This window comes from Homo sapiens, chromosome 1 (assembly GCF_000001405.40).
Source record: "Homo sapiens chromosome 1, GRCh38.p14 Primary Assembly".
Taxonomy (NCBI): Eukaryota; Metazoa; Chordata; class Mammalia; order Primates; family Hominidae; genus Homo; species Homo sapiens.
The window spans coordinates 41,531,660-41,544,408 of record NC_000001.11 but is presented as its reverse complement, the minus strand read 5'-3'; the positions used below and the strand labels follow the sequence as shown (position 1 = coordinate 41,544,408).

Below are 12,749 nucleotides of genomic sequence, written 5' to 3'. Positions count from 1 at the left end.
CTTCTTTTCCTGCCCACTGGTTGTGTGACCTCAGGCAAGTGACTTTACCTCTCTGAACCTCCATTTCCTCACTTGAAAAAGAGGACTGACATAACCCCCCTCACTGGTTTCTAGTAAGGATGAGGAGGTCCTGGAGTGAGGAGAATGCACTGTAGTGCTAGAGGATCACAGATGTTCGTTTGTGTTCTTGCGGCTGCTGCTGTCTATCCCATGCAGAAAATGGCTGAGCAGTGTGGGGTCCAGTTAGCCACGAGGTACAGGCATACCTTGGGGCTGGAGAGACGTTCCTCTTCATCTTGATCATAAAGGTGGCATGGTGCTCTGATCAATAAAGGTGTTGCTTCCTACTCCAACAGAAGATAAAGACGACCCTTTGGTGGCTGTGTCAGGACCTGTAAAATCCTTTATGGCTTGCAGCACCAGGAGGAGCCCTTATGACTGGAATGAACAACAGCAAGGCCACCAGCTCCAAGATATGAAGGCCTGAGGAGAACAGCATGACAAAGACTGAGCAGGAGATTGGACCATTGTAGGAGGTGCTGATCCCAGTCAACGAAAAACTTTCAACACGGCGAAGAAGCATCTCCACTTCCCCTGCGCTTACATTGGAGGAGACCAAAGAGCCACGTCTATAGCAGCCTCCACCTCATTTCCCTATTCTGATCTTGCTTTCTCGTTTCCAGCATCTGGGTTGTGGTCAGGTTCACTGTGCAGCTCTCAAGAGGGTCTAGCCCCAGTCTCAATATGGATACACCAGGAAGGACCTAAATAAGGAGCCCCCAGGTGTTGAGGGGTCTATGCTCACCCCCTGGAGCTATGAGGCCTTGTAGAGTCAGTGAGGTGGCTGGAGACCAGAGAGGGCAAGGGCCTGGGCCTAGGTTACACAGCCAGTTACCCACATGTGACTGGGAAGAGACAAAGTGTTCTCTGCTAACTGGTTACCACCTCCTTTAATCTCTGACAAGTTTTCATAGAAATGGCTTTCCTGAGGGATAGCCGGGCCAGCAGTGACAACTCTCACAGTCTGATCTTTACATACAAGCTCTGGAAGCTTTTCAGAACCACATTTTTCACCCTGCCTACCTCCGTGAAAACCATCTGTCCATCTGTCATGCTAAGAACTGCCCAAACCATTAAGTACTTTGAACTGAAGGGAAGATGAGACAGGATCAGCAGGCAGGAGCAGGAGCTGAATCACGCCAGCTCGTGGCTGTGCCTTGACTCCTCGACCCCACTTTCTGCTGGTGAGGACACTAATTTGGCCCCCACTTTGAGTGGTCAGACATTTAAGGCAGCGGGTAGGTGAGGGGCTACTTACAGATCTATAGTGCGCATGGTCCAGCCTACCATCTCACCAAGGGATTCCTGCTTCATGTTTGTCAAGTGCAGATAAGCAAACCCCTTTATTCTTCATCTTGGAGTTTCTTCTAAACATGTCACCCATTTTGCGCCTCCGTTATCCCGATAGAAACCTAACAGTTAGGTTAACTTTCCTGAGGCTTTTATTGCCCCCTGCGTATTGTTAATCTGGACCATGATCCTGCATCCCACTGATAGCCATTTTAAAAGTGGAAGAGTGGTTCAAGCTCCGTGTCATACGGATCATGTGTCATAGGAGGAACTGAAGCCTGCTCTTCAGCACTGTATTCAGTGTCAAAGTTTGGAAGCTGAAATGCTTCACATTCCATGTTGGCGGCTCTGTCTTCATCCCTGGAATTTGTTCCCTGCCATCATCCCCTTGCACTGCCTCTGCCTCTGCAGGATACTGTGGCTCTGTGACGATGTTTCTGTCTGCATCCTCTCTTTCCTCTACATCCTCGTCACCTTCATCATCTTCCTCTTCCTCATGCTGCTCCTCTTCTACTTCATCGGAATATTGACCTTCCTGGGGACAAGACTCTCATCAGGAGAGATGGGCACAAAGGAATCTTCTCTGTGAGGAGCTTCCTGCGCCTCGGACCCCATCCTGGCATGAGTGTGGTCATTTCCATCATCCTCCAGCGGGGGGGTCCTGGGAAGTTCATGGTCCCCTTGGCTGTGATCTTGGAGAGCTTCCAAGGGCTTCTGTATCCCCATCAGCATGTTATGGATTCCTCCGCAAACCTGGCCATGGCTGGAGAGAAGGAGGAGATGGTAGAGAGACTCCATCGTGACTTCTTACTCCATCAACTGGTCCCAATATTGCCAGGGCTAGACAGTTGAGCCAGCCTCTTAGCACGAAACCATTAGCTTCGCTTTTGAGGTGGGTGAGGGAGACATCTCCAGGCTTCTGAACCTATTGAAATCTGGGGCACTTGGTTTTCCTTCCACTATTGAAGAATGAATCTGACTGTAATGAGTGCTATCAAGGCAGAGTGCCAGATACAGCAAATACTGATTGAGCCCCACTCGGTGCTAGGCACTCTTCCAAGCACATAACCTATATTAACTAAGTAAAATGTGCAACACCTCTTGGAGCATATGCTATTATTTTGTAGTAATTTTCTAATTGAAACAGATCATACATACAAAAAACAATCCAAGTCATAAGTATACAACCATGAGTTATTACAGAGTGAACATACCTATGGAATTGTGCCCAGTTACCCACAGGTCAAGAAATAGGACATTATCCCTATTTTACAGATGAAGAAACTGAGGCACAGAGAGGTTAAGTAACCTGCCCAAGGTCACACAGCTAATAAGGGACAGAGGCTGGTTTCCGCCTCAGGAGTTCTGTCTGGTAAGCCCAGCTCTGTTTTCTACTGCCCATAGAAAAGGTGGACCTGGAGAGCATGACCCATCTCAGGGTCAGGGGAAGCTTCTGAGAAGCTGGGGTTGGATCTGAGCTCAGGGGAGAACTGGAGCTTCATCAGAAAGAGGGAAGGAGAGCATTCCAGGCAGGGTGATCTGCTGAGAGGCCTGCAGATCTGCTGTGGGGATTCAGGAGGGAGGCGATGTGGACAGCCTGTCACGGCCACAACACACAGACTCACCAGTCACTGGAGGGCAGCCATGGGGCTCACAAAGGGATTCTTCCTTCCACAAAAGGACTCACAACAGGCATCCCTAAATAGCTCGCTGCAAGGAAAACCCACTTTGAGTTGGGAAAGTCACATTTCCATAGAGTGGATTAGAGAAATAGGGCTTTCATTGGAAGAGGTGGCTCAGTCTGAGAATAACAGCTGGGAGGTGTAATAGTAAAACCATCCCACAGCCACAGCCATAGCTGGTCTCCTCTGGGCAGCATCAGCACACCCTCCATGGGCGGGTGCTTGCTCAGGATCACACAGCTGGTCGGAGGAGGCAGGATTTGAACTCGGCAGTCTGATGCATCAACACCCCATGCCTAACCACTGCACTCGCAGCGTCCTAATCAGACAGGCCACCTCAGTCCTCTGAGCCGTGACCACACCCTCCCTTCCTTCCTGTTTTCCCACCCACTCACCTACTGGCTGTTTATGTCTGGAGCACCAGTGTGGTTGCAGTGTCCATTTAGAGTCCAGCTAAACCCGCTGGACCTGGAGTCCAGCCCAGCTCCTACCATTAGAATCTATTTTGCCCCAGACTTACATTGTCATTTAATCTGGGCTTGAATACTAGACCTGTTGGGGAGCTCACTACCATTCAGGCTTGCTTTTTTCCAAGTTTGTAGCCCTGGGGTCAGAAAACTCTTTCTTAAAGGGAGCCCGGATCTTCCTCCATGCCTGGTTCTGCCTTTTGGCTGAGCTACCTCCCAGGAGGCTGAGACAGTGGTCACAGATATGACCTGAGGTGTCCAAAGACAGGTTTTCCTTGGTCCCTGTTTCTCCTGTAATCTTAACTGGTGGGGAACAGATCTGCTTGGGGTATGGGGTAAGAAGGTGCCTGTTGTCATGCAGAAATTAGAATGCCTTCTCTATCCGTCTCCTTTCCAGATTGGAGTAACTCTGGGGTCTGAGCATGTATCCTCCCCCACGCCCCAACCCAGTGTTCTTCAGGTTTAATCTGTAAGGACAGCTGCAAGAGATGCCAACCAACTGCCTTCATGAGCCCTGGCTACCTTGCCCCATTCAGATAGATCAAAAACTGTTTCACGGCCTTCATGGTGCTGACACCTTGAGCTCATTGCAGGATTTAAAACTGTTCACAGCCTTTTCTTACCTAATGTGTACCTCAGCATATGTGTGTTTCTGTGCAGCCAGGAACACCGAGGTCTCAGGTTGTAGTAGCCCAGCGTTGGCCAGGCACCTGGTGTACGCATAGTGTCAGCTGCTACTAGAGAGAGCCTTGGTCAGTGTCCTCTCTGGCTGCTGCCCCGCACAGCCCCAATGGGGGGCTTCCAGCTGCAGCTCCGCAGGTCCCACCTCTGACAGTACACCTTTCCTTTCCTCTCCTTCACCACCTGTAAGACGCTGGCTGAATTTTAGAGCCGGGCACTGAGGCTTTTCTAAGCCAGTCTCCAACTGGCCTTTCTGCCTCAATACCTGCTATTCGTACTCAGCACTGTCATCATAGAATTGTACCAAGGTTTCTACGATATAATTTCTGTAAAAAGTGCCTACTACAGAGTCAGCACTTAACAAATTGTAGCTGTTTATTTTTATGTGATGAAAGGTTTCACCTATGACCCTGGTTGACTTTTTTTAGCGGTTTTTAGCAAAAATAATAATGAGAAGAAGAAGTGTTCATAAATGTTAACCAAGAAGAAAGGAGATATCCTACGGAAAGCGTGTGGCACATAGCGAGGGCCTGGTCACTGTGAGGTCAGGTGGTCTGGGGAGGCCTCAGCCCTCCCAGCTCTGGCCATTTGTGTGGTGTGGAGCACCAGACAGGCTCCCGCCTCTTCAGGGTCTAGTTAGTGACTTCCCCATTCTGGGTCTGGGACATAAGGGAGTGAGGCTGGAATAGTGGAAAGAGGAGACCATGGTCCTGCATCGGCCTGGGCTAGGTCCAGCCCCACCTGAGGGCTTCTGTGCTCTGGGCCATTCTGGGAGAAGATGGACAGTTTGGGGAGAATTTCTCACATGTGGAATTGTTTGAGGACATGGAAATGCTGAGACTGGAGGAAAGAAGTCTCGAGCAGCATCATGGCTTTTGGAGACTTGTGTGAAGGAGGAGCTGGACTGCCCAGAGCTCAGAGCATGGGTGTGAGCACAGGTTGACAACTTCAGCTTAATAGTGAGAGAGCTGCCCAGAAGTCGCAGGAGCTGCTGGGAAACTGTGAGTCCCCTGGTGCCGGAGGAATATGCACCTGTGGGAGGGTGTGGACGGGATCCACCTGAAAATGGCCTAATCCAAGGATGCAGCAGGCTTCTCTGCATCAGAGGTTTTAAGGAACTTCCAAGCATGAATGTTCTCTAACAGTAATTTTCAAATTGTTTTTACATTCACATAACTCCTTTTTACAAAGTTCAGTTTACATACATACTCACTCTGAAAACCAACGCAATCCAGAGCTGCTGTGGGTGGGGGAGGAGGACCCAGGGCCCCACTGCTCGGCTTCCCCACCCCCATGCCCCATGAATCCGGAGCACAGATTGGAAGTCACTGTTCTAGAACCCTGCAGGCCAGGGCTGCTCATGGCTGGAGCAACTCCACCTAATGTTCGCAGTGAAGGCATCCACTCCTCTGACAGTTTCATTTCATTTCAACCCATTCCTGCCTGCCTCCCTAACCCCACTATCTGGTCAGAAATGGGGTATCGGCTGTGTTTGACAGACCCAAGCTGGCTTCAGCCCAGGCTTGGTGCCTGCTTGCTGGCTCTTAGGCCTCTGCTCTTCGTCACCCAGAAGTCACTCCACAGGACCTCCACCTATCATATCCAATTCTGTAGAATAAAGGCGTTTGCTATTCTTAGAGCTGTGCTGGGCATTAGACCCCTGAGCTGCTGCCATCTTCCCAGCTGCTGCCACTGGGAGCTGATGTTTTCCTAGTATTAAAAAAATCACAATAGTAAAACCCAGGAAATGGTGAAAATGCCACTGTAGGTAGCAAGCCTGCAAAATGACAAGAGCTTGCCTCATCAGCAAGAATCCTTCTGGAAGGTGTATAAGAAGGCATCCTTGACCCACTCTCCCCTCTTATTTCTGTCGGGCCACTGCTGAACTGTCTCATATCTAGGTCCTCTTTCCTCTTGCCCTCGCCTCTGTCCAGCTGGGCTCTCTACAGTCACAATAGCCTCTCCTGGCCTCCAGACCTCCCCACCCACACCATCCTCCACACTGCACTCAGGCGGAGACTCATAAAACAGGAGTCTCAGGTCTGACCCTGTGCACCCAAAAAGTCTCAGACAAAGGTGTTTCTTCTGCAGAAGCCACCTGACACCCACCCCCACTGGTTCCTCCTCTCATCATCCGTAGCACTTTGCTCATTGTCTGTATTACTGTTTCCATCTCTTTGCTTTACGATCTTTTAAGTGCCTGTTAGTCACACTTGAGACCAAGGTCAGGGTTTTATTTAGCTTTATATTTCTGGCCCTGGCCCAGCGCCAGGCTCAGACCAGACCTTAGGAAATACTGTTGAGTAAATTCACATGCTTGCAGCTCACGTCGCTGTTTAGAACAGAGACTGTGCTGGTGGGCTCTGTGCCTGCGTGCCGTGGAATTCCTGGCACAGTGGCCTGTCCCTGAGGGTGCACCTAATGGCCCCCAGCCTGAGCGTTATGACATGATGTAGTTTCTGCAGAACCCCAACAAAAGGAGAATCTGGGGTGTACCCAGAAACCAGTGTGAACTTTCCCCATGACCCACATGGCCTCCCCAGTTTACTTTCCACCAGGGGATGTGTCTACTACCTCTTGGCCACTGAATATTTTTAAGAGAGACACAGCTCAGCAGGCTGTACCACCTGGCACTTTCCTCTCTTTCCACAGACATCCATTCTTCTGTGAGTTTCACTCGAAGAGCAGCGTGTCACTGCGGACAAGCCAGCCAGCTCACCATGGCTGGACCTCCCAGGGTACCAGACCTCTGGGAACTGGCCCTGAGCCTCACTTCACGGACACAGGCTGCCCGCCAAAGTGGGTCTCAGAGCAACAGTGTGTGCATTGCTCGTCACATCTTCCTCTTGCTTTGCATGACTGACTACACCCAAGAAGTGTGCCCCCTGGGAGGAAAGCATATTTGGCAACCAGATCATAATAAAATCAGAAATGCAGCAAACCTTTAAAATATCCAGACTTGGAAGAGATGCAAGAGTTTTCTAATTAAATATGAATAATAGGTGGAAAAGTCATAATATAAATGCAGAATAGCTTAATACATAGAATCTCAGATTAAGAAGGTAACTTGGAGGCCATTGAGTTCATCCCTTCATTTCAGAAAATAATGCAGCTTGGTGGAGTGAAAAGTCACGGGCTTGAAGGTCAGACATGCCCCTATTGACTAGCTATATGACCTTGGGGAAATTACTTTGAGCCAGAAGTTTAGCTCCAGGCTGGATCCGCCTCTTGTATTTTATTTGACTTACACAGTGTTTTTTAAAAAACAGAATTGCACAGCAGTTAAGCACATGAACCTTGTAGCCAGGTGACCTGAGTTCAAATTCTGACTCCATTAACTGGCTGTGTGACCTTGGGCAGGTTATTTAACCTCTCTGGGACTGTTTTCTCCTGTGTAAATGGGAATCATGACAGCCCCATCACATAGGGCTGTCATGTGATTTAATGAGGTAATGCATGTAAAGCATTTAAAATCGTGCTTGGCACCCAGTGTAAGAGTTTGCTAATATTTTTAGTTTTTTTTTAAAAATCTGAATCTGTGGTTTCATTGAAAAAACTGGAAGATGTAACAACTTCATGTGACATTTGGCAGGACAGGAATAGCCACTGCCCCTTCAGAGAGGGATATGCCCTGCCTCCCAGGTCACCACAGTCCCCACCGCGTCCCCTCCTACGCCTCCCCTGCTTTGCTTGATCATGTTGCCAGCCCATCCCCCTCTAGTGCCCTGAGCCTCCACTTGGTCTTAGGAGTAAATATAGCCACTTATATTTACTGGAACAAATATGCTAAACTAAATATATCCAAGTGAACTAAATATATCCACTTTACAATGTTATGACACTCATACACAAGCTAATCCACCCAAAGCCGCTCTGTCGGTGTGCTGGACGTGTCCTGAGCACGTAGACGTCATGAATTCCCTCCCACTAGCTAGGAGTAGTAGAATAATGCTATTCTACCTACTACCTACTACTAGAAGACCTCATAGCCTATTCATCTGGTCTCTAGGTGGACAGTGCTAGTGACGGGGAGCCCACTGCATGGCAGAGCAGCTTCTTTCCATCTTTTGTTATATTCAGAGTCCGGGAACAACAACCTCCTCCATCACCTTGCCTGAAATGCCATGCAATTTCCACCACAACCCCTCTTTGACATCTTGAGCAGAGGAACGTGTCACGTCCTTTGGGGGCTCTGTGCCGAGTTCCTTTGTGCTTAGCAGAAGCTGTGGGTCTGCTACAACCCAAGATATCATGTGCTGATGGTTCACAGGCAGCTCAGTATCACCAGCCATGGGGATTGCAGGAGAAGTTGCCGGGGGCAGGAGAGGACATCACACTAGATCATACTGTGCTGCTCTTCAGGGCACACAAGTCAGATCTGGGGTCCAGTCCTTGCGTCACCACTTTTGAGCTGCCTTGTGACTTTGGGCAAGACACTCAACCTCTCTGTTTCTGCTTCCTTCTGTATTCAGTGAAGATTGTAAGACCCTCCTGATCAAGGGGTTGTTTAAGGATCTTTTTCTTTTCCTTTGAGTCCATGAGTCTTAGAGCCACAGCATAAGAATGAAAAGATCCATCCATGAAGACCCTGGTCTCGCCATACCCCTCCCCATAGCCTCTGTCCTGCCCTGACCCCAGGCATGGGCAGAAAGCTGCTTCCAGACACTGGGAGAAATTACTCCATAAGTCAGCCCTGCCAGACCCACCAGCAGTGGACCGTCTTGCAGCCTCAGAACAGGCAGGGAAGTTGGTCACTTGCTCCCCTGATAAAGGGCAGCCTGTGGCGTAGGCCTCCAAAGGGCTGCCTTGGGTGGAGGAGGGAAGAGGCCAGCAGACCAGGCAAGCAGGACTATATCCCCAGGGACCCCCATCATGGTGTTCCGGTTTCCCACCCTGGCTCTTCCCCGGCATTTCTCTACAGCTGTCAACACCTGGGGTTCCACCCCAGCGCTGGCTGGAAGGGCTGGGCGGGGAGTGATGCCATTCTTATTTGTCTGCAGTGTAACAGGTCCCTGGGAGAGGGAAGATGCTAACAAAACCTTGGTCGGCATCATCTAAAAGTGTTTAGATGATGTGCGGGAACAGGGTGCTGCGTGGTAAAATTGCTGGCTGGGTGGTCTTGGCCATGTCAATGAACCCACTGGGCCTTGGTTCCCTTTTCTATACAATGGGGACGATGGTAAAATGGTTGATGGGAGGATCGAGTGATGCCCGCCATGTGACCGTGCTCTGCCGTGTCTCAGGTTATGAGGACTATTTCCGAAGGAAAGAAAGTGACTTGCCCAAGGTCACCTGGCGAGTTCCAACAAGAGCAGAACCAAGACCCAAGTGTCCTGCCCACCTCTCCCGCTCTGAGCAGAGTCACTCCTCTCAGAAGGTGGGCAGCGTATGCGCCCATCAAGGTTCTGAGGCACTGCCTGTGTCCCGCCTCCTTTGGGAGCCCAGCATTGAGTTAAACTTGTGCTCAGGAACTCCTGGAGTGGGAAAGTCAAGGCTAGAATCTGAGGATCACAGGCCCCAGGAAAGAAGGCCTCGCTGGTCTCTCTGATGTGCAGCTAATGAATATGTATTGGGCACCTGCTGGGGATGTCCTGACAAATGAGGTAGATGTGGTCCTCACCCGCGCAGGGATGATGGGGGCTGTGCTTGTGAAAAGGCCATTGCAGTACACACAGTCTGACAAGTGCCCTGGAGCAGAAGTGGGTGAGATCCCCAGGTCCAGAGGAGGGGTGTGGGACAGGCCTCCGAAGGACAGGACCTTGGTGCAAATTTCTGGTAGAGTGGAGGAGCTGGTCTTACAGGAGAGGGGGTGGTGCTGGGGCAGGGATGCAAGGCTCCAGGTGACCTTTGGCATGGCTGGAGGGGGAGTGCAGCAGGAAATGGGGGGATCAGTGGGAATTGGAGGGAGATGAGCTGGGGAGGTGGCAAGGGCAGATGGTGCCCTGGGCCTTTCCTGCCAAGGAATGCAGGGCTTCGCTCCGATGGTAGTGGGAGAAGCATGAAGTGGGACCTCTAGGCTGGAAGGAGTGGTAAGCCTGGATGGATTTGGGGACAGCTCCTACTGGCTGTTTTGTGAAGAAAGGAGGCAGTGGTATAGGAGAGAGGGTGGTGGCCAGGGCTGGTGGGGACAGAGAGGTGGCACCCTTGGAGCATGCATTGCATGTAGCATTGATGGTTGTGGTGGTGGATTGATTATGGAGCATGAAGGAAATGGAGCCATCAAGGATGAAGCCCAGCCTGTGGGCTGGCCAGCCACACGAGTGCAGGTGCTGCTTGCTGAGAGAGAACGGGGACCCAGGAGCAGACACTGCAGGTAGAGGGACTTGGAAGGCTGGTTCTGGGCACGCAAGGTATGAGGTGCCTGAAAACCACCAGAGGTGATACTAAGGCAGTTAGATGTATAGCAAAGGCATCGGAACTCGAGAGAGAAGTGGCTGGGGGCCATCAGCACCCAGGTGGAGGGTCACCTGGGGAAGGTGTGTGGTGAGAAGAGTGCAGGTCGGAGGCTGGCAGGGGCCATGTCGGCATGGGAAAGGGTGGGCAAAAAAGGAGCTTGCAAAGGAGACACAAGCAGGAGGGAATGAGGTGCCTCCAGAAGGCCAGCAAGAGGGCGGACAGGATGAGGCAAATGGACTTTCAATGGAGCAAGCTGTGACCTTGGCAAGAACAGTTGGTCATCAGAGCTGGGCTGCAGCGGCTCAAAAGCATAGAGTGGGGAGGAGGTGTGGACAGCCCTCTCCAGATCCGGGCTGTGCAGGAAAGAGGGACAGCAGAGCTGGCCCGGGATTTGGGCCCAGGGAGGCTTGGGGCTGGTTGATTTGTGATGGGAAGAGAGCTGGGCTTGTGTCTGTGGTGGTGGAAGGGGCTAGGAGAGGGAGGCAATGACACTGCTGGGAAGCTGTGGGAGAGGACAGTGGGTGGGGTGGGCTCTGGCACCGCAGGAGGAGCTGGACCCAGAGCCCGGCAGGTCTACCTCAGGCTTGGGGAGGTCCACACTGATAGACAGCTGCCATAGGCCTGTCCCTGGCTGGACCCTCTGGGAACCTCAAAGCTGGACAAGCCTCGGTCCTGGCCTTCAACGAGCAGAGGAGCCACAGGTTCCAGGTCGTTGAACCAGGACTGCCCTCTTTCAAGTCCTGGGTCCTCAGCAGCCGTCTTCCTCAAGCTCTCTGGGATGTCCAGCCATGGGCCCCTCCTCCTCTAAACCCTCTCCTCTTGGCTAAGCCACAGTTCTCTCCCAGTTTCCTGCTTCTCTGACCTTTCTCTTTTTGAGGGCAGGGTTTGGGGTGCCATTTGTTCTGCCCACCCTTGAATTTGGGTGCCACCCAGGTCTCTGCCGTCGGCACTACCCTCTTCTGTCTTGTGGGGTCATCCTCCTCCCAAATCTACATATCCCCTTCTCAGTCCCACTGATTTCTGACACAAGGACGTTTCTTCATGTCTTCCTCATGGGCATCTCATACTCAATGCTTAAAGACTAGAGTCCTCCATCACTTCCCCCCAAGCTCGGGGGTGGTGCCACTAGAGCCAAGTTGAAACTTCTGGATCTTGGTTTCTCCTTCGTTCTGACCCCTGCCCCATCCAAATGGCCACTGAGGCCTGTGGAGCCTATGCCCAGAAGGCATCTCAAATCGCTGTTCTAGAACATGAGCCTGGGCCTGGATTCATTCTCTCCTCCTCCAGGCCATTCCCATGGCCAGGGAATATCCTCTCTTAGAGACTTTATATTTCTCTTTAAGGCTTTTATCAATCCCAAACTTAGCATGGTGTTCAAGGCCAATGGTGATCCAGCCTGCCTTTCCTCCAGCCTCATCTCCTCTCTGCAACCAAATACTCCAGGCTCTCAACACTCTGCCGTTGCTCCGGGGGGTGCCTACCCAAGTCCTCCCTTCTCTCCTGTCCTCCATCTCTTCTGTCCTCCCTTCTCTCCTGTGCTCCATCTCTCCTGTCCTCTATCTCCCCTGTCCTCCCTTCTCTCCTGTCCTCCATCTCCCCTGTCCTCCATCTCTCCTGTCCTCCATCTCCCCGTCCTTCATCTCTCTTGTCCTCCATCTCCCCTGTCCTCTATCTCTCATGTCTTCCATCTCTCCTGCCTCCATCTCCCCTGTCCTCCATCTCTCCTGTCCTCTCTCTCCCGTCTTCCATCTCTCCTGTCCTCCATCTCCCCTGTCCTCCATCTCTCCTGTCCTCTATCTCCCCTGTCTTCCATCTCTCCTGTCCTCCATCTCCCCTGTCCTCCATCTCTCCTGTCCTCTATCGCCCCTGTCTTCCATTTCTCCTGTCCTCCATCTCCCCTGTCCTCTACCTCTCATGTCCTCCATCTCCCCTGTCCTCCATCTCCCCTGTCCTCCATCTCTCCTGTCCTCCATCTCCCGTCTTCCATCTCTCCTGTCCTCCATCTCCCCTGTCCTCCATCTCTCCTGTCCTCCGTCTCCCCTGTCTTCCATCTCTCCTGTCCTCCATCTCCCCTGTCCTCCATCTCTCCTGTCCTCTATCGCCCCTGTCTTCCATCTCTCCTGTCCTCCATCTCCCCTGTCCTCTATCTCTCATGTCCTCCGTCTCCCCTGTC

At 51.6% G+C, this 12,749-nt stretch overlaps 1 protein-coding gene and 1 pseudogene across 2 annotated transcripts in view, besides 1 other annotated feature; one reads left to right on the top strand and one right to left on the bottom strand.

Moving 5' to 3' along the window:
* Nucleotides 1-12,749, top strand: part of HIVEP3 (HIVEP zinc finger 3) — a 529,570-nt gene that overhangs the window by 491,526 nt on the left and 25,295 nt on the right. The window lies entirely within an intron of this gene.
* Nucleotides 261-2,341, bottom strand: LOC100418723 (vir like m6A methyltransferase associated pseudogene; annotated as a pseudogene).
* Nucleotides 3,235-3,449: a silencer, noted in NCBI's record as "fragment chr1:42006631-42006845 (GRCh37/hg19 assembly coordinates)". NCBI's record gives its function as "represses an EF-1alpha promoter that drives an FKBP-Casp9 reporter gene in an ReSE screen in K562 erythroleukemia cells {active_cell/tissue: K562}" and the evidence as "EXISTENCE:reporter gene assay evidence [ECO:0000049][PMID:32094911]".